Source organism: Homo sapiens, chromosome 3 (assembly GCF_000001405.40).
Source record: "Homo sapiens chromosome 3, GRCh38.p14 Primary Assembly".
NCBI lineage: Eukaryota > Metazoa > Chordata > Mammalia > Primates > Hominidae > Homo > Homo sapiens.
Window position 1 is genome coordinate 75,735,585 of NC_000003.12, and position 22,430 is coordinate 75,758,014.

At 40.5% G+C, this 22,430-nt stretch overlaps 1 protein-coding gene and 1 non-coding gene across 22 annotated transcripts in view; one reads left to right on the plus strand and one right to left on the minus strand.

Annotated features, from left to right (window-relative positions):
• ZNF717 (zinc finger protein 717) overlaps positions 1-22,430 on the minus strand; it is a 90,849-nt gene that overhangs the window by 40,884 nt on the left and 27,535 nt on the right. For 7 of the 21 annotated variants that reach the window (XM_047447039.1, XM_047447038.1, XM_011533244.4 and 4 more), the window contains 3 exons: positions 6,026-6,152; positions 5,692-5,784; positions 284-3,761 (listed from right to left, as the gene is read on the minus strand). In XM_047447039.1, the coding sequence (XP_047302995.1) occupies positions 1,294-3,761; positions 5,692-5,784; positions 6,026-6,152 (2,688 nt within the window). In that variant the 3' untranslated portion in view covers positions 284-1,293. The other 14 variants (XR_007090409.1, XM_047447041.1, XM_011533251.2 and 11 more) reach the window with 7 other exon arrangements.
• Positions 2,696-2,779, plus strand: MIR4273 (microRNA 4273). The gene has a single exon (NR_036235.1). It is a non-coding gene; the product is annotated as a microRNA 4273 (primary transcript).

The following is a 22,430-nucleotide window of genomic DNA, read 5'->3' on the forward strand; positions in this document are numbered from 1 at the left end:
CAGGGAGCCATGATCACACCACTGCACTCCAGCCTGGGTGACTGTCTCAATAAAAAAAAAAAAAAAAAAAAAAGCAACGAGAGGAAACAAAAATCGTATAAAATCATCAACTCCATAAAAGGCAGAAAAAGAGTGGAGGACAAAGCAAGATCAAAGAATAATAGGAGTTAATGGAAAATGATATGGCAAAATTAATCCAACTGTATAATCACTTTGAATGTCAATGGTCTAAATGCACCCAGAAAAGACAAATTGTTAGAGCCCATCAAAATAGAGGCACATCTCACTTTGAGCTTCACTTTATTTTGCTTGGCAACATCACCTTTTTAACAAATTAAAGATTTGTGGCCACGAAGTGCTCAGCAAGCCTGACCAGCACCATTTTTCCAACACCATGGGCTCACTTCACATCTCTGTCACATCTTTTGGCAATCCCAATCTTTCAAAGATTTTAGTTATCACATCTGTTATGATCTGTGATCAGTGATTTCTGATGTTACTAATGGAATTGTCTCAGCGTGCTGGAACTCTATGGAAGATAGCAAACGTGATGGAAAAATGTTGTGTTTGACTGCTTCATTGACTAGTCATTTCCCTGTCTCTGTTTCTCTCTTCTAGCTCCCCATTCCCCAAGATACAACAATGAAATTAGGCCACTTCACTCTGCAGTGGCCACCATGTGTTCAATTGAAAAGAAGTGTGCACACCTGTCACTTCAAATCAAAAGGTAGAAATCATCGAGCTTAGTGAAGAAAGCATGTTGGAAGCTAAGACAGGCCAAAGCTAAGCTTCTTGCATCAGCTACTCAAGTTGTGAATGCAAAGAAAAAGTTCTTGAAGGATGTTATAGGTGCTACTCCAGAGAACACATGAATGATTTTTAAAAAACAAAACAGGCTTTTTACTGACACAGAGAAAGTCTGAGTGGTCCACATAGAAGATCAAACCAGCCCCAACATTCCCTTGAGACAAAGCCTAATCCTGAGAAAGGCCCTAACTCTCTTCAATTCTATGGAGGAGAAGAGAGGTGAGGAAGTTGCAGAAGAAATGTTTGAAGCTGGCAGAGGTTGGTATATGAGCTTCTAGGAAAACAGCCATATCTGTGACATTAAAGTGCAAAGTGTGCTGTAAAAATGGGAACAACAAAGCCTGCATGATAGGACTTCTGTTACAGCATGGTTAAGACCTTCTTGTTGGTAGGCCAGGAGGTAATGGTCACCATTTGTGTCCATATTCTCCTAGACTGAGCATGGAGAAATCTGTAATAGTAGCCAGAGAGGTGTAGGTTGTGTGTTCAAGGGAAAAAAGAGTGATTTTGAGGGAACACATAGCCTGCCTCAGCTACGTCAGATTTCTCTCCTATATGGGTTTGTTGATGCCTGCTGAGGTGTGACTTCTGGCAAAAGGTTTTCCCACATTCCTTACATTCATAAGGTTTTTCTCCTGTGTGTGTTCTCTGATGTATACTGAGGCCTGACTTCTGGGAGAAAGTTTTCCTACATTCATTACATCTAAAGGGTTTTTCCCCTGTGTGAGTTCTGTGATGTACAAAGAGTTTTGACTTCTGGGAGAAGGTTTTCCTACATTCTTTACATTCAAATGGCTTCTCACCTGTGTGAGTTCTCTGATGTATGGTGAGAACTGTCTTATCGTAAAAAGTTTTCCTACATTCATCACATTCATAGGGTTTCTCTCCTGAGTGAGTCCCCTGATGCGTACTGAGGTTTGACTTGTGACAAAAGGTTTTCCCACACTCATTACATTCATAAGGTTTTTCTCCGGTATGGGTTCTATGATGTACAGTGAGGACTGACTTCTGACAAGGTTTTTCCACATTTGCTACATTCATAGGGTTTCTCCCCCGTGTGAATACCTTGATGCTTCTGAAGATTTGCCTTCTGATGAAAGGATTTTCCACATTCATTACATTCATAGGGCTTTTCCCCGGTGTGAGTTCTCTGATGTATAATAAGGTATGATTTCTGACAAAAAGTTTTTCCACATTCATTACATCCATACGGTTTTTCCCCGTGTGAGTTCTCTGGTGTATGGTGAGGAATGACTTGCGATGAAAGGTTTTTCCACATTCATTACATACGTAAGGTTTCTCTCCTGTGTGAGTTCCCTGATGGGTGCTGAGATTTGACTTCTGACGAAAGGTTTTTCCACATTCATTACATTCATAGGGTCTTTCCCCTGTGTGAGTTCTCTTGTGTATCCCAAGGTTTAACTTATTGATAAAGGTTTTCTCACATTCATTACATTCATAGGGTTTTTTGCCAGCATGAGTTCTCTGATGTATAGTTAGGAATGACTTACAGTGAAAGGATTTTCCACATTCATTACATTCATAGGGTTTTTCCCCTGTGTGAGTTCTGTGATGTACTGTAAGGTATGACTTGTGGCTATATGTTTTTCCACATTCGTTACATGCGTATGGTTTTTCCCCAGCATGAGTTCTCTGATGGACAGTGAGGAATGACTTACAGCGAAAGGTTTTCCCACATTCATTGCATTCGTAGGGTTTTTCCCCTGTGTGAGTCCATTGATGGATAGTGAGGAATGACTTACGGTGAAACGTTTTCCCACATTCATTGCATTCATAGGGTTTTTCCCCTGTGTGAGTTCTCTGATGTAACCTGAGGTTTGACTTATTGATAAAGGGTTTTCCACACTCATTACATTCATACGGTTTTTCCCCTGTGTGTGTTCTCTGATGGACAGTAAGCCTTGACTTATGGCTAAATGCTTCTTCACAATGGTCACATGCATAGGGCTTTTCCCCTGTGTGAGTTCTATGATGTATTGTGAGGTATGACTTCTGGCTAAAGGTTTTTCCACATTCACTACACTGATAGGGCTTTTCCCCTGAGTGAGTTCTGTGATGTAAAGTGAGAAGTGACTTACAGTGAAAAGTTTTTCCACATTCAATACATTTGTAGGGTTTATCCCCTGTGTGAGTTCTCTCATGTAAAGTGAGGAATGACTTACGGCGAAAGGTTTTACCACATTCATTGCATCCATAGGGCTTTTCCCCTGTGTGAATTCTCTGATGGATAATGAGGCTGGACTTATAGCTGAACAATTTTTCACACCAGTTACAGGCATAAGGTTTTTCCTCAGTAGGCATCTTGCACTGTAGCATAAGGTCTGATTTGCTAATGGAGGGTTTCTCACATTCAACACATTCATAGGGTTTCTCTCCTGTGTGTGTCTGCTGATGTTTAGTGAAGTCAGACTTTCTACAGCAAGTTGGCTGTCCTACCTGAGTTATCACTTGGACAATAACAGCTGAGTTATTACAGGCTTTCTCATATTCATTATATTTACCAAAGGTCTGTACTATATGAACCCTCTTATGTATAAAGAACATTGCCTCCGTGTTGAAGGTTTTCCCTTGTTCATTACATTGAAAAGTCTGCAGCAGAGTTTGAATCTTGTGATGCTGAGTAAGATGTTCATGATGTCTGTGGGATCTCCTGGTTATATCACAGACATGAGGTTTCTCTCCAGACTGTGTCTCCCCAGGCTTAATAGGGAAAAGCATGTTCTGGCAATCATTAAACTGCCCAGGCTTCATTCCTGAACTGTTTCCATTATTTATAATCAGATTTAAAACATGGTTTGAGTTCAAATTAAATGTTTTTCCTAATTCAACTCTCTCCTGAGTTGATGTGTTGCTGTTGGTGATTACAATTTGCCAGAAAAATCTATCATGACTTTCATGGCTCCTTTCAATAAGGTCATCAATGATCTGGACAGCTGAAATGAGAAAAAAGGTATCCATGAACCACACATGAGCATGTCTTACAGAATGCTTGTGTAAAGGTAAAAAAAATTACTTCCTATCTCAGTGGAGTAAGATTTGACAAAAATAAATATGGGTATTGGTTTTATATGCATATGGTTTCTGTTCCTACTGACATAATGTAATAAATCAGTATATTTTCTAATGTTCAATTGAGTTTTTCTTTGCATTTTGAAGTTTTCCTGTTCTTTTTTATTTCACAAAGAATTATTTGGTAATAATATGCATCTACTTCCTACTCATAGGTTTTAATAAGTGCTCATTATTGTCATATGTTTTCTCTCTTTTTTTTTATTTATTCATATAACAATAGTGGCTGTTTTAATAGCTGCTATTTTTTCTTTATTCTTCTTTGAAGATAGCCAGTTTTTCCTGGGTCAGCAACTGGTAGGTATAGGAGATGGCCATTTTTCTGTCTCCTAAGCATGGAAGCAGCTTGTGGACAGGATTTTGCCTATATGTTAACCTTTCACTCCTCCCTGAGAATGGTTAAATGTGTCTGGAGGTTTTCCAAGCAGAAAATCTCTTATTCCCCATGTTAAACAAAAACAGATCCTGGCAAATTCCTACTTAAACATGACATCCCCTGCTTCCCAGAACCATAATAGGCACAGAAGCTCCAGTCAAAAAACCACACTGGTGATCTGAAGGATTGGTTCTGCAACTCAGGCTGTGCCCGTCATCTTCGAAAAGTGTATTTCTGGTTCCTTCTGAGATCCACAGCCGTGCCCCTCTCCACTCACCAATCGCTGCTTGATAATTCACCATTTTTGAAGGGTTTTATTTTGTGTTTTGGAGTTTCAGATGTCACACAGTTTTATATAAAAATGAAGTTTCCTGTACATTTCTCATCTTCCAATGGTAACTACAAACTCCACTCTCAAACAGAAATCTGAGCCCTTCAACAGGAAATAATTAGTTTCTTTGGACTTGAGACCCAGAATCTTCTGGTTCTCCTCCCAAGTCCAGCACCACCCCTATCCAGGCCCCTATGATGGGTCCTCCTCAGCTTCATAATTTCCTTCCGAGACAGGATCTTACTCTGTTACTGAGGCTGGAGTGCAGTGTTGCTATCATAGCTCACTGAAGCTTGAAACTCCTGAGCTCAAGCAATCCTTCCATCTCAGCCTCCCAAGTATAAAAACTGGGATTACAAACCCTTGTCACCGTACTCAGCTATTTTTTTTTTTTTTTTTTGTAGGTGGTTGTCTACGAGGATCATTTAAGGCCAGAAGTTCGAGACCAGCCTGGGCAATAGAACAAGACCTCATCTCCACAAACAATAAAAAATTAGCCAGGTGTGGTGGCACACACCTGTAGTCCTAGCTACTTGGGAGGCTAGGGTGTGAGGAACACTTGAGCCCAGGAGTTCATCATTACAGTGAACTATAATCATGCCACTGCACTTCAGTCTGAGAAATAGAGTGAGAATCATCTGTTTAATAAAAAATAAAACAAGAATAAAGCTATAGCTTAAAAAGAAACACCATTTTCATCATCGTTATAATGACTGATTCTTAAAAATCACTTAAGATACATTCAAAGGATAAATAAATGCATGAATGTCTAAAAAAATTTTTAAGATACTACATCAGAATAGAGGAAAAGGGGGAAACAGAGAAAATAAATAGCAGAGAAAAAGGCCTAAGGAGAGGATGGCAGGGATTGGATTTGGGGTAAATAGAAGAAGATACTCAGAAAAATAAGAGACTGGGATATATGCATGAGAGTTACCCCTGGGGACTATATAATGCACATTTAATGCAGACCAACAGCCTTCAGGTCGAAGACCTAGGGAAAAAAGTGGTGAAAACAAGATAACACTACAAAAATTTGCTGGGCATTACTCCTCCAGGCCTCCCTGCCTGGTATTCACTGACTGACCTGAAAGTCTCAGGTTTGGGGTTTCTTCTACTATCCATGGCTCTGCTCCTTGCTCTAGCTTGAAGATCATCTCAGGTTTGGTAATGTAATGCCCTGGTAATGAGAAACAATGGAAGACTTTGTCAAACCACTAAGTCAAATCCTTTTCAGAATGACGACAGCTGGGCTTCAGGGACTGTGCAATGAAGGAGCCAATTTGAACATTTCATTAGAGTAGTGACACATTTTTCATCAACTGGAAGCTTACAAGTAAATATTATTATACCTTAAAAGGGTTCCTATATTTACCAGCAACAAAATACAATCCTGGGAGTTACTGGCAAGTTTCACTCACCCAATGATACCAGGCTGCTGTAGGTCTCCAGCATCACGTCCCTGTACAGGGTCCTCTGAGCATCATCCAGGTCCTGCCACTCCTCCCAGGTGAAGTGCACAGCTACCTCCTCAAAGGACACCAACTCCTGTAATGATACCAGGCTGTTGTAGGTCTCCAGCATCACGTTCCTGTACAGGGTCCTCTAAGCATCATCCACGTCCTGCCACTCCTCCCAGGTGAAGTGCACAGCCACATCTTCAAAGGACACCAACCCCTGTAATGGCACATTTTTCCTCAAGTCAAAGCATCAGCCCAAAGATTCTTGTCAAAAGAACAAGAATCTGGGAATTCACTCTTTGGTGTGTCCATGTGTCTTATGTATTTTACATAAGATGTAGTTTGTTTTGCACTGTTTATGGTGGGAGAAGGAGTAATCACAGTAGAAATATGCTTCCACTGTAATAACTTATGAATTAATAAAATTGTATTACAAAGTTCACCTTATAGATCTAGAACCACCCTTATTGCTAGGGATAAAAGTATAAACAAAATGCAAGACCCTGTCTCTACAAAAATAATAAAAAAATATAGGCATAATGCTGCATGCCTGTAGTCCTGGCTACTCTGGAAGCTGAGGCTGAAGGATTGCTTGAGTCCAGGAGTTTGACAGTGCAGTGAGTTATGATCACACCACTGCACTCCAGCCTGACCAACAGAGAGCCTACCTCTCAAAAAAAAAAAAAAAAAAGAATAAAATTCTACTCCTCAAAGGAGCTCATGATCTGGTTATGAATATATAAGTATAAACACATACTGGGAATAATGTTTAGGTGAACTCATTGAGACACAAGTTCAATGCAGACTAAGATAAGAGAAGGAGAAAATAAGTTTTGTTTATTTTGCACCATGAGGTTCCACTTTACTGAAAAATCAGGTGTTTGGCTCTTCCACATGAACCATGAATTCTCTGACTATGAGAAAGTATCAGAAGTCTACTCACAAAGGCAAAGAGAACACACACCACTTTAATGGAACTCTGGACAGCACCATGCCTAGATGAATGATCCTGGACAGTGATGAAAGCTAAATGCAATATTTAAGGAACTGATTATGCAGTGATTCTGCATTTAAATATTTGACCCAATTTCAAAAATTCTTATGCACCTATCGTTTTTACATTATATTACTTCCTCAGTATCCATGGGGACTGATTCCAAGATACCCCCAGATATCAAAATCCACAGATTGGATAACTCTCTTATATAAACTATTCTCATATTTGCATATAACTTATGCACATCCTCCTGTATACAGTCATGAGCTGCATAATAACATTTCAGTCAATGATGAAACATGTATATCACAATAGTCCCATAAGATGATGATGAAACATACACAGAAACCTGATATTGGCATTGCAGATGAAGTGCAGAAAACGATATTCAATAATGGCTCTGAGCCACCTAGTTACCTATATACCAAAAACATATAAATAAAAATATACATATCATGTAGGTTTTCATAATACTATGATCTTCACAAAACAATGAAATTACCCAAAGATGCATTTCTCAGAAAGTAATCCCATCAGTAAGCCATGCATGACTGAACTTTAACTCTTTAGATTACATATAATACTGAAGACAATGTAATGCTACATAAATGGCTGTTATACTGTACTGTTTAGGAAATAATGACAAGAAAAATTTCTGCAGATGCTCTTCACAGAGACAATCATCTATTTTTGTGGGAATATTTTCAATCTGAAGTTGGCTGAATCCACAGATGCAAAACCCATGGATACAAAAGGGTGAATATACTTAATTAAAAGCATATACACTGGCATTTCAAAATTTCCTTTCTACGGGACAAAAAATTGCTGTATCCACCCAGGGTGAACACAGCCACTTCACATACAGGTGTAAATAAGGAGGTCCAGTAAGGACAGAAAAGTTACATGACAATATTGGCATTTTAACAGCCATCCCTGAGGAAGAGAATGGGAAAGGGCTTAAGGGAAAGCCAGAAGGGAGTAAAGAGGAAGACAGATGACCACCTACATCAGGACATGGAGTGTAAGAATACACAATAGGGAAGTAGTTCTTAAGAGGAAAAAAATGTAGAAACAGGATTTGGTACCAATTTGCTGTGCACTGGGTAAAAAGGGGAGTTTTGTTTCCAAGTTATCTGTCATCATCCAGCTAGTTTGGTACTGGTGTTGTGAAGTGAAATTTGCAAAAAATAAAAGAATACGATAACCAGAAGTGACACAGACTTGGACATATCATGTGTGAAACATCTGAGGTTCCATATGTGGGAATGTCCAACTGGCAACTGGGAAAATGGCTCCACTGGTTCAGAAGAGAGATCAAAACTAAAGATAAAGATTTGGAAATTACCAGAATTTCAATGGTACCTGAATCCATCAGACCAAATGAAAATAAGAGAATGAAAGAATAAAAGAAACAAGTACAGAATCTACAGAAACACTAACATTTACACAGGAAGAGAAATAGACTGTGAAGACCAAGAAGGAACTTTCTGAGTTTATTCCACGAATAAAGAAAAGTTCAATATTCGGAAGTCTACTAATATAATTCATCATGATCATAGTCCTGTGGAAAAAAATCCTTTAACTGTGCATATAGGCATTGAGAAGATAGTTTTAGAAACACCTTCCAGGTTCCTATTTCTGCATGTAAGAAGCTTGGAAGTAATCAATAATTACTTTACAATAATTAATTTTAATAACAATCTTAACAAATTAATATGACACAATTAATCTTAACAACAAATAAAAAGCTGAAGAGACTAAAAAATCAACAGTTCTTTCTAGATTTGAAACTCAGGGGAGGACACAGGGCAAACCACTGCCCCCAGGATTGCAGAGACAGAGAAGTGAATATAGGACTTAATAGCTTACAGGAAAATGGACTCACTACTGAAACCAACTTTGGAACCCGTGCTGGAGTAGAAAAACTCAAACCGTAACTGGTGAACGGCTGGAGGATCCGCGTGGACAACTCTAAGTGTTAAAAACTACAAAGAGATAGAGTTATTGTCGGGGAGGGGGCACAATACTGTAAAATTGTCTCATGGAGCTTCACCAGGCTCCTGTGACAAACACCTGACAAAACTCCCCTCCTGCTTCAACCTTTCGGAAGGAAAAAGGAAAACCATTTTGAAATATGTCAGAGCACCCATTTCTTAACAAGGCTTGTCCACAGGAGAAACTACTTAACTTCAGCCTAATCTGCTCTAGTATAATCGGAGACTAAATAACCTAGGGGAAGGGAATTATCCCCTTCCACTGCAGCCCATTCTAATCATGTTCCGCCCAAGGTGGAAAATTAATTAAACAGAGGAACACTTCTGAGGTTCACAGTATAGACCCAATCATAGCATTCCAGAACACGGCTGCCGGGGTCTGTGTGTTTGTCCCTCACATATGGTACCAAAACACTGCTCCTGAGGTCTGAATGTTTCTCCCTCACATAGAATTCCAGAACACTGCTACGAGGGTCTGAATGTTTGTCCCTCACAACACTGCTGCTGTGGTCTGTTGTTTTTTTTTTTCTTTCTGTCTTTTTAAAATTACTTTATTAATATTTATTTTTAATTGACATATGACATTGCAAGTTTTTGTAATGTAAAATGTCAGGGACAAACATTCAGACCAATGCAGTAGCGTTCTGGCATCCTATGTAAGGGAAAAACATTGAGACTCTCGCAGTAGTGTCCTGGAATCCTATCTGAAGGACAAGCATTCAGACCCCAGTAGCAGTGTTCTGGAACTCTATGTGAGGGAAAAAGTACGCATACATTGTGAAAAGGTCAAATCTAGCTAATTAACAAATACATCAATTCGCATAGCTATCATTTTTCTGGTGAATACACGTAACATTAACTTTCTATTTCTCAAGAATGCAATAGGTCATCATCAATTACAATCACCTTGCTCTACATCTCCTGAAATTTATTCCTTCTATCTAACCCTAAGTATGTATCCTCTGATTAACATCACTGCAACTCCCCTTTACCCCTAGCTCTGATACCCACCATTGTACTTTGTAACTCTATGAGATCAACTTTTTTATATACCAGTAGGAGTCATGTCATGATATATTTGTCTTTCTGCACCTGGCTTATTTCACTTAACATGTTGTCCTCCAGGTTCATCCATGTTGTTCAAAAATGACAGGGTTTTCTTTTTTTTTTACTGCCAAATAATATACCACATTTTCTTTCTTTTTTTAATATATTTTCCATATTGAATTATTTATATATATTTTTTTATTATACTTTAAGATCTAGGATACATGTGCACAACGTGCAGGTTTCTTACATATGTATACGTGTGCCATGTTGGTGTGCTGCACCCAGTAACTCGTAATTTACATTAGGTATATCTCCTAACGCTATCCCACCCTGCTCCCCCTACCCCACAACAAGCCCCGGTGTGTGATGTTCCCCTTCCTGTGTCCATGTGTTTTCATTGTTCAATTCCGACCTATGAGTGAGAACATGTGGTGTTTGGTTTTTTGTCCTTGAGACAGTTTGCTCAGAATGATGGTTTCCAGCTTCATCTATGTCCCTACAAAGGACATGAACTTATCATTTTTTATGGCTGCATAGTATTCCATGGTGTATATGTGCCACATTTTCTTAATCCAGTCTATCATTGTTGGACATTTGGACATTTCAGTTGGTTCCAAGTCTTTGCTATTGTGAGTAGCACTGCAATAAACTTACGTGTGTATGTGTCTTTATAGTAGCATCATTTATATTCTGTTGGGTATAATTCCAGTAATGGGATGGCTGGGTCAAATGGTATTTCTAGTTCTACGTCCCTGAGGAATCACCACACTGTCTTCCACAATGGTTGAACTACTTTACAATCCCACTAACAGTGTAAAAGTGTTCCTATTTCTCCACATCCTCTCCAGCACCTGTTGTTTCCTGACTTTTTAATGATCGCCATTCTAACTAGTGTGAGATGATATCTCATTGTGATTTTGATTTGCATTTCTCTGATGGCCAGTGATGATGACCATTTTTTCATGTGTCTGTTGGCTGCATAAATGACTTCTTTTGAGAAGTGTCTGTTCATATCCTTCGCCCACTTGTTGATGGGTTTTTTCTTGTAAATTTGAGTTCTTTGTAGATTCTGGATATTAGCCCTTTGTCAGATGAGTAGATTGTAAACATTTTCTCCCATTCTGTAGGCTGCCTGTTCACTCTGATGTCTTTTGCTGAGCAAAAGCTCGTTAGTTTAATTAGATCCTATTTGTCAATTTTGGCTTTTGTTGCCATTGCTTTTGGTGTTTTAGACATGAAGTCCTTGCCCATGCCTATGTCTTGAATGGTATTGACTAGGTTTTCTTCTAGGGTTTTTATGGTTTTAGGTCTAACATTTAAGTCTTTAATCCATGTTGAATTAATTTTTGTATAAGGTGTAAGGAAGGGATCTGGTTTCAGCTTTCTACATATGGCTAGCCAGTTTTCCCACCACCATTTGTTAAATAGGGAATGTTTTCCCCATTTCTTTTGTCAGGTATGTCAAAGATCAGATAGTTGTAGATGTGTGGTATTATTTCTGAGGGCTCTGTTCTGTTCCATTGGTCTATATCTCTGTTTTGGTACCAGTACCATGCTGTTTTGGTTACTGTAGCCTTGTAGTATAGTTTGAAGTCTGGTAGCGTGATGCCTCCAGCTTTGTTCTTTTGGCTTAGGACTGACTTGGCAATGTGGGCTCTTTTTTGGTTCTATATCAACTTTAAAGTAGTTTTTTCCAATTCTGTGAAGAAAATCATTGGTAGCTTGATGGGGATGGCATTGAATCTATAAATTACCTTGGGCAGTATGGCGATTTTCACAATATTGATTCTTCCTATCCATGAGCATGCAATGTTCTTCTACTGGTTTGTGTCCTCTTTTATTTTGTTGAGCAGTGGTTTGCAGTTCTCCTTGAAGACCTTCTTCACAACCATTGTAAGTTGGATTCCTAGGTAACTTATTCTCTTTGAAGCAAATTTGAATGGGAGTTCACTCATGATTTGGCTCTCTGTTTCCCTGTTATTGGTGTATAAGAATGCTTGTGATTTTTGTACATTGATTTTGTATCCTGAGACTTCGCTGAAGCTGCTTATCAGCTTAAGGAGATTTTGGGCTGAGATGATGGGGTTTTCTAGATATACAAACATGTCATCTGCAAACAGGGACAATTTGACTTCCAAAAAATAACTAAGATCAGAGCAGAAGTGAAGGAGATAGAGACATAAAAAACCCTTCAAAAAATCAATGAATCCAGGAGCTGGTTTTTTGAAAAGATCAACAAAATTGATAGACCACTAGCAAGACTGATAAAGAAGAAAAGAGAGAAGAATCAAATATACGCAATAAAAAATGATAAAGGGGACAGCACCACTGATCCCACAGAAATACAAACTACCATCAGAGAATACTGTAAACACCTCTACGCAAATAAACTAGAAAATCTAGAAGAAATGGATAAATTCCTTGACACATAAACCCTTCCAAGACTAAACCAGGAGGAAGTTGAATCTCTTAATAGACCAATAACAGGCTCTGAAATTGAGGCAATAATAGCTTACCAACCAAAAAGAGTCCAGAACCAGACGGAATCACAGCTGAATTCTACCAGAGGTGCAAGGATAAGCTGGTACCATTCCTTCTGAAACTATTCCAATCAATAGAAAAAGAGGGAATCCTCCCTAACTCATTTTATGAGGCCAGCATCATCCTGATACCAAAGCCTGGACGAGACATAATCAAAAAAGAGAATTTTAGACCAATATCCCTGATGAACATCAATGCGAAAATCCTCAATACAATACTTGCAAAACCTAATCCAGCAGCACATCAAAAAGCTTATCGACCATGATCAAGATGGCTTCATCCCTGGGATGCAAGGCTGGTTCAACACATGCAAATCAATAAATGTAATCCAGCATATAAACAGAACCAAAGACAAAAACTGCATGATTATCTGAATACACGCAGAAAAGGCCTTCAACAAAATTCAACAGCCCTTCACGCTAAAAAACTCTCAATGAATTAGGTATTGATGCGACATATCTAAAAATAATAAGAGCTATTCGTGACAAACGCACAGCCAATATCATACTGAATGGGCAAAAACTGGAAGGATTCCCTTTGAAAATGGGCACAAACAGGGATGCCCTCTCTCATCACTCCTATTCAACATAGGGTTGGAAGTTCTGGCCAGGGCTATCAGGCAGGATAAAGAAATACAGTGTATTCAATTAGGAAAAGAGGAGGTCAAATTGTCCCTGTTTGCAGGGGTCTCTTTGCCCTCACATAAGATTCCAGAACACTACTGCTGTGGTCCGAGTGTTTGTCCCTCACATAGGATTTCAAAACACTGCTGCTGTGGTCTGCTTGTCCCTCACATAGGATTCCAGAACACTGCTACAAGGGTCTGAATGTTTGTCCATCACGTAAGATTCCACAGCACTGCTGCTGGGGTCTGAGTGATTGTCCCTCACATAGGATTCCAAAACACTGCTACGAGGGTCTGAATGGTTTGTCCCCCGCATAGGATTCCAGAACACCATGGCGAGGGTCTGAATGTTTGTCCCTCACATAGGCTTCCAGACCACTCCTGCTGTGGTCCGAATGTTTTTCCCTCACTTAGGATTACAGAACACTGCTAGTGTGTTCTGAATCTTTGACCCTTACATAGAATTCCAGAACACTGCTGCTGGGTTCCAAGTGTCTGTCCTTCATATAGGATTCCAGAACACTTCAACGAGGGTCTGAATGTTTGTCCCTCACATAGGATTCAACAACACTCCTGCTGTGGTCTGAATGTTTGTCCCTCACATACGATTCCGGAACACCGCTGCTGGGTTCTGAGTGTTTGTCCCTCACATAGGACTCCACAACACTGCTGCTGTGGTCTGAATATTTCTTCCTCACATAGGATTCCAGAACACTGCCACAAGGGTCTGAATATCTGTCCCTAACATAGGATTCCAGAACATTCCTGCTGTGGTCTGAATGTTAGTCCCTCACATAGGATTCCAAAACACTGCTGCTGGATTCTGAGTATTTCCCCTCACTTAGGATTCCAGAACACTGCCATGAGGGCCTGAATGATTGCCCCTCACTAGGACTCCAGAACAATGCTGCTGGAGTCTGAATGTTGATACCTCACATAAGACTCCAGAACAATCCTGCTGTGGTCTGAATGTCTGTGACTCACATAGGATTCCAGAACACTCCTGCTGTGGTCTGAATGTTTGTCCCTCACATAGGATTCCAGAACACTGCTGTTGGGTTCTGAGGGTTTGTCCCTCACATAGGATTCCAGAATACTGCTACGAGGGTCTGAATGTTTGCCCCTCACACAGGATGCCTGAACACTGCTGCTGGGGTCTGAATATTTATCTCTCACATAGGATTCCAGAACACTGCTACGAGGGTCTGAATGTTTGTCCCTCACATAGGATACCAGTACCCTGCTGCTAGGGTCTGAATGTTCCTCCCTCAAATAGGATACTAGAACACTGCTACAAGGGTCTGAATGTTTGTCCCTCACATAGGATTGCAGAACACTCCTGCTGTGGTCTGAATGTTTGTCTCTCACATAGGATTCCAGAACACTGCTGGTGGGTTCTGAGTTTCTGTCACTCACAAAGGATCCCAGAACACTGCTATGAGGGTCTGAATGTTTGTCCCTCACATAGGATTACAGAACACTGCTGCTGGGGTCTGAATGTTTGTCCCTCACATAGGATTCCAGAACTATGTTACGAGAGTCTGAATGTTTGCCCTCACACAGGATTCCAGAACACTCCTACTGTGGTCTGAATGCTTGTTCCTCACATACAATTCCAGTACACTCCTGCTGTGGTCTGAATCCTTGCCCCTCACATAGGATTCCAGAACACTGCTGCTGGGTTCTGAGGGTTTGCTCCTCACATAGGATTCCAGAACACTGCTACGAGAGTCCAAATGTTTGCCCCTCCAACAGGATTCCAGAACACTGCTGCTGGAGTCTGAGTGTTTGTCCCTCACATAGGATTCCAGAACACTGTTACGAGGGTCTGAATGTTTGACCCTCACATAGGACTCCAGAACACTCCTACTGAGGTCTGAATGTTTTTCCCTCACATAGGATTCCAGAACTCCCCTCCTGTGGTCTGAATTTCTCCCTCACATAGGATTCCAGAACAATGCTGCTGTGTTCTGAGTGTCTGTCCCTCACATAGGATTCCAGAAGACTGCTATGAGGGTCTGAACGTTTGTCCCTCTCATGGGATTCCAGAACACTGTTACGAGGGTTTGAATGTTTGTCCCTCACATAGGATTCCAGAACACTCCTACTGTGGTCTGAAAGTTTGTCCCTCACACAGGATTCCAGAACACTCCTACTGTGGTCTGAATGTTTGTCCCTCACACAGGATTCCAGAATACTGTTGCTGGGTTCTGAGTATTTGTTCCTCACATAGGATTCCAGAAAACTGCTATGAGGGTCCGAATGTTTGCCCTTCAAATAGTATTCCAGAACACTGCTGCTGGTGTCTGAATGTTTATTTCTCACAAAGGATTCCAGAGCACTGCTAGGAGTGTCTGAATGCTTGTCCCTCACATAGGATTCCAGAACTCTCCTGCTGTGGTCTGAATGTTTGTACCCCATGTAGTACTCAAGAACACTGCTGCTGGGGTCTGAATGTTTGTCCCTCACATAGGATTCCAGAGCACTGCTAGGAGCATCTGAATGCTTGTCCCTCACATAGGATTCCAGAACTCTCCTGCTGTGGTCTGAATGTTTGTACCCCATGTAGTACTCAAGAACACTGCTGCTGGGGTCTGAATGTTTGTCCCTCACATAGGATTCCAGAACACTGCTGCTGGGGTCTGAATGTATGTCCCTCACATAGGATTCCAGAACACTGCTGCTGGGTTCTGAGTATTTGTCCCTCACATAGGACACCAGAACACGCCTGTTGTGGTCTGAATGTTTATCCCTCACATAGGATTCCATAACACTCCTGCTGTGGTGTGAATGTTTGTCCCTCACATAGGATTTCAGAACACTCCTGCTGTGTTCTGAATATTTGCCCTCACATAGGATTCCAGAACACTGCTGTTGGGTTCTGAGTGTTTGTCCCTCACATAGGATTCCAGAACAATGCTATGACTGTATGAATGTTTGTCCCTCAGATAGGATTTGAGAACACTGCTGCTGGATTCTGAGTGTTTCTCCCTCACGTAAGATTTCAGAACACTACTACGATGGTATGAATGATTTTCCCTCACACAGGATTCCAAAACACTGCTGCTGGGATGTGAATGTTTGTCCCTCACATGGGATTCCAGAACACTGTTATGAGGGTCTGAACGTTTGTCCTTCACATATGATTCCAGAACACTCCTACTGTGATCTTAATGTATGTTCCTCACATGGGATTCCAGAACACTCCTGCTGTGGTCTGACTAACCCTCACATAGGACTCTAGAACACTCCTACTGTGGTCTGAATATCTGTCCCCCACATAGCATTCCAGAACACTACTGCTGGGTACTGAGTGTCCCTCACATAGGAATCCAGAACACTGCTACGAGGGTCTGAATGTTTTTCCCTCACATAGGATTCCAGAACACTGTTGCTGGGTTCTGAGTGTTTGTCCCTCAGATAAGATTCCAGAACACGGCTACGAGGGTCTGAATGTTTGTCCCTCACATAGGATTCCAGAACACTGCTGTTGGGGTCTGAATGTTTGTCCCTCACATAGGATTCCAGAACACTGCTTCGAGGGCCTAAATGTCTGTCCCTCACATAAGATTCCAGCACACTGCTATGCGGTTCTGAATGTCCTCACATAGGATTCCAGAGCACTCCTGCTGTGGTCTGAATATTTGTCCCTCACATGGGATTCCAGAACACTGCTACGAGGGTCTGAATGTCCCTCACATAGGATTCCAGAACACTCCTGCTGGGGTTTGAATGTTTGTCCCTCACACAGGATTCCAGAGCACTCTGCTGTGGTCTTAATGTTTTTTAATCACATAGGATTCCAGAACACTGCTACAAGGGTCTGAATGTTTGTCCCTCACATAGGATTCCAGAACACTCCTGCTATGGTCTGAATGTTTGTCCCTCACATAGGATTCTAGAACATTCACATTGGGGTCTGAATGTTTGCCCTTAACATAGGATTTCAGAACACTGCTCCTGGGGTCTGAATGTTTGTCCTTCAAATAGGATTCAAGAACACTCCTGCTGTGGTCTGAAAGTTTGTCCCTCACATAGGATTCCAGATCTCTCCTGCTGTGGTCTGAAAGTTTGTCCCTCACATAGGATTCCAGAACACTGCTGCCATGGTCTGAATGTCCCTCACATAGGATTCCAGAACACTTTTGCTGGTGTCTGAATGTTTATACCTCACATAGGATTCCAGAACACTGCTATGAGGGTCTGAAAGTTTGTCCCTCACATAGGATTCCAGAACACTGCTGCTAGGGTCTGAATATCTGTCCGTTACATAGGATTCCAGAATACTGCTGCTGGGTTTTGAATGTCTGTCCCTCACATAGAATTCCAGAACACTGCTGCGAGTGTCTGAATGTTTGTCCCTCACATGGGATTCCAGAACACTGCTGCGAGGGTCTAAATGTCTGTCCCTCACATAACATTCCAGCACACTGCTATGAGGTTCTGAATGTTTGTCCCTCACATAGGATTACAGAGCACTCCTGCTGTGGTCTGAATTTTTCTCCCTCACATAGGATTCCAGAACACTGCTGCTGTGGTCTGAATGTTTGCCTCTCACATAGGATTCCTGAACACTGCTACGAGGGTCTGAATGTTTGTCCCTCACATAGGATTCCAGAACACTGCTGCTAGGGTCTGAATATCTGTCCGTTACATAGGATTCCAGAATACTGCTGCTGGGTTTTGAATGTGTGTCCCTCACATAGAATTCCAGAACACTGCTGCGAGTGTCTGAATGTTTGTCCTTCACATAGGATTCCTGAACACTGCTACGAGGGTCTGAATGTTTGTCCCTCACATAGGATTCCAGAACACTCCTGCTGGGGTCTGAATGTTTGTCCCTCACATAAGATTCCAGAACACTGCTGTGTGATCTGAATGTTTGTCCCTCACATAGGATTCCAGAACACTTCTGCTGTGGTCTGATAGTTTGTTCCTCACATAGGATTCCAGAATACTGCTACAAGGTTCTGAATGTTTGTCCCTCACATAGGATTCCAGAACACTGCTACAAGGGTCTGAATGTTTGTCCCTCACATAGGATTCCACAACACAACTGCTGGGATCTGAATGTTCGTCCCTCACATAGGATTCCAGACACGGCTACGAGGGTCTGAATGTTTTTCCCGCACACAGGATTCTAGAACACTCCAGCTGGGGTCTGAGTGTTTGTCCCTGACATAGGATTCCTGAACACTGCTGCTGCCACTAGAGTCGTTGCGAGTGTCTGAATGTTTGACCTTCACCAAACACCAAATGTTCTGGCACTTTAGTCTTGGACTTTCCAGCCTCCAGATCTGTGAGCAATAATCTCTGTTGTTTATGAATTACTCAGTCTAAAGTATTTTGTTATAGCCACCTAAAGAGAAGAAGAGAGCATCACCTGCCCTGACACCTCATTACCACATTACTGAAGCTATATTAACAGCAGTCACTTTTAGTGGGTACTTCATGCCTGGAATTATGGGGAAAAAATTACAAGGCATACTAAAAGGCAAAAAAATAAAAAAAAATACAATTTGTAGCAACAGAGCAAGCTTCAGAAGCAGACAAACCTATGATTTTGGAATTTTTTTTTTAAACCTCTGGAGAATATGCTAAGGGCTCTAATGAATGAACTAGACAGCATTCAACTGTAGATGGGTAATGTATCCAGAAAGACATCATTAGAACCATCAACGTAATTTAGTGATAAAAAATGTGGTAAATAACTGAAGAATACCTCTGATGGCTTATTAGTAGACTAGACTCAGCTGAGTAAAGAATCTCTGAGCTTGAGGATTTATCAACAGAAACTTCAAAAACTAAAAAAGAAAAACACTGAAATGAACAAAAGATGATATCCAAGACTGTGGGACAACTACAAAAGGTGAAACAGGGTAATGAGAATACCAGGAGGAGAAGAAATAGAAGAAAGATCTGCAACAACCATGTCTGAGAACTTCCAGTATTAATGTCAGACACCAAACCAAAGATCCAGGAAGCCCCGAGAACACCAGGCAGGATAAATGCCAACAACCTACACTTGGACATAAAATTTTCAAACTATATGAAATAAAAGACAAAGGAAAACTCTGAAAGAAACCAGAGGTGGGGCAGAAAACACCTTACCTACAGAGACACAAAGATAAGAACTGAATTCAACATTGCAGAAACTGTGAAAGCAAGAAGACAGTGAAATGGAAAATTCAAAATGTTGACAGAAAAAAAACCCACCAACCTAAGTTTCTGTACCCACTGAAACCACCCTTCAAAAGTGAAGGAGAATTAAGGCCTTCCTCAGAAAAATAAAAATTCAAGAAACTTGTTGCCAGGAGACCTGTCTTGCAAGAAATGTTAAATGAAATTCTTTAGAGGGAAACAAAAGATATATAACTGAAACCTGGATCAACATTTTTTTAAAAAGAGCATTAAAGAAAGAATTGTGGTACAATAAAAACTTATGTATTTATTCTTAATTGATCTGACCAAGAAGTTTATAGATAATAATAAATACACACAGATAGATTATGTATGCTTATACACAAGTGAAATGAGTAACACTAATAAAAGGAATGGAATGGAAGGATGGGAGGGAGGAATTGTGGTACAATAAAAACATGTATTTATTCATAATTGATCTGACCAATAAGCTTGTAGATAATAATAAATACACACAGATAGATTATGTATGCTTATACACAAGTGAAATAAAGAATAATAATACAAGGAATGGAATGGAAGGATGGGAGGGAGGAATCAGGTGTTTTCTTTGTTAAGCAGGTAGTCTTATTTGTGGGACAGTGGGATAGTGTTATATGAAAGTGGACTTGAATTGGTTGTAAATGTATATTGCAAATTCTATGGCAACTAGTTAAAAAAAGTTTTAAAAAAAAGAAGTACATGCTAAGAAAGACAGGGAAAATGTAGTCATCTAAAATCATCAATGAAAACTGCAAAGGGCAGAAAAAGAGTGGTAGACAAGAGAATGAAGACTAAGGAGAATGAATAGAAAACAGTAACAAACACAGTAGATATTAATCCAATGATATCAATAATCACTTTGAATGTTAATGGTATGAATGTACCAATTCAAAGACAGAGATTGTCAGAGTCTATCAAAAGACAGACACATCTCGTTTCACTGCACTTGCTTTATTGTGATTTGTGACCATGTTTTTTACATATTGAAGGTTTGTGGCCACCCTGCAATAAGCAGGTCTCACTGGCACCATTTTTCCTACAGCACGTGCTCACTTCACGTCTCTGTCACATTTTGGTCATTCTCACAGTAATTTAAGCTTTTTATCATTGAATCTGTAATGGTGATCTGTAATCAGTGATCTTTAATGCTACTATTGTCATTGTTTTGGGAACCACAAATCACACCCGGATAAGACAGCAAACAACTGACAAATGCGTGTGTTCTGACTACTCCACCAACGGGCCATTTCTCTTTCTCTCTTTTTCTCAGGCTTCTTTTTATTAATATTAAATTGTGGCCAATTAATAACCCTACAATAGCCTCTATGTGTTCAAGTGAAAGAAGAGTTGCATGTCTGCCACTTTAAACCAAAAGGAAGAAATAATTAAGCTTAGTGAGGAAGGCATGCTATAAGCAAGACAGGCCAGTAGCTAGACCTCATGCAACAAACACTTAGCCAAATTGTGAATGCAAAGGAAGTGTTCTTGAAAGAAATTTAAAGTACTACTCCAGTGAACACATGAATGATAAAAAGCTAAACAATGTTGCTGCTGTTATGAAGAAAGTTTAATTGGTCTAGATAGAAGATTTAAAAAAAATTCCATTAAGCCTAAGCCTAACTCTCCTTTTTCTTTTTTTTTTTCTGTTTTTTTGAGACGGAGTTTCATTCTTCTTGCCCAAGCTAGAGTGCAATGGCGCGATCTCGGCTCATCGCAACCTCTGCCTCCCAAGTTCAAGCCATTCTCCTGCCTCAGCCTCCCGAGTAGCTGGGATTACGGGCATGCGCCACCACGCCCGGCTAATGTTTTGTATTTTTAGTAGAGACGGGGTTTCTCCACGTTGGTCACACTGGTGTCGAACTCCCGAACTCAGGTGATCTGCCCGCCTCGGCCTCCCAAAGTGCTGGGATTACAGGCGTGACAGCCACAGCGCCCGGCCTCTCTTCAATTCTATGAAGGCTCAGAGAGGTGAGGCAGCTGCAGAAGAAAAGTCTGAAGCTAGAAGAGCTTGTTTCATGAGGTTTAGGGAAAAAAGTCATCTCCATAACATAAAAGTGCAAGATAAAGCAGCAAGTACTGATGGAAAAGCTGCAGAAAGCTATCTAGAAGATAACTGATTAAGATGGCTACACTAAATAGATTTTCAATGGAGACAAAACAGCCTTCTGTTAGAAGGAGATGCCATCTAGGATATTCCCAGCTAGGGAGGAGTTGATGCCTGGCTTTAAGGCTTCAAATGACATGCTGACTCTTTTGTTAAGGGCTAATGCATCTGGTGATGTTAACTTGAAACCAATGATGATTTACTATTCTGAAAATCCAAGGGCCCTGAAGAATTATTATAAAACAGCTCTGCCTGTACTCTACAAATGGGAACAAAGCCTGGATGACAGACTATCTGTTTACAAATATGGCTTACTAAATATCTTAAGCCCACTGTTGACACCTACTGCTCAAGAAATAAGATTTCTTTCAAAGTATTACCGCTCAATGACAATGCTCCTGGTACTCAAGGGCTTTTACAGAGATGTATAAAGAGCTGAATATTGTTTTCATGCCTACTAACCCAACATTCATTCTGCTGCCCTTGGATCAAAGAATAATGTCAACTTTCAAGTCTTATCACTTAAAAAATATATTTCATAAAGCTATAGCTTGTCTAGAAAGTGATTCCTTTGATGGATCTAGGCAAAATAATTGAAAATCTACTGAAAGGATTCACCATTCTAGATGCCATTGAGAACATTCATGATTTAATAAAGAAGATCAAAATAGCAACATTAGGAGAAGTTGGGGCCGGGCATGGTGGCTCACGCCTGTAATCCCAGCACTTTGGGAGGCCAAGGTGGGTGGATCACAAGGTCAGGAATTTGAGACCAGCCTGGCCAACATAGTGAAACCCTGTCTCTACTAAAAAAAAAAAAAAAAATTTATCTGAGCCTGGTGGGGGATGCCTGTAATCCGAAATACTTGGGA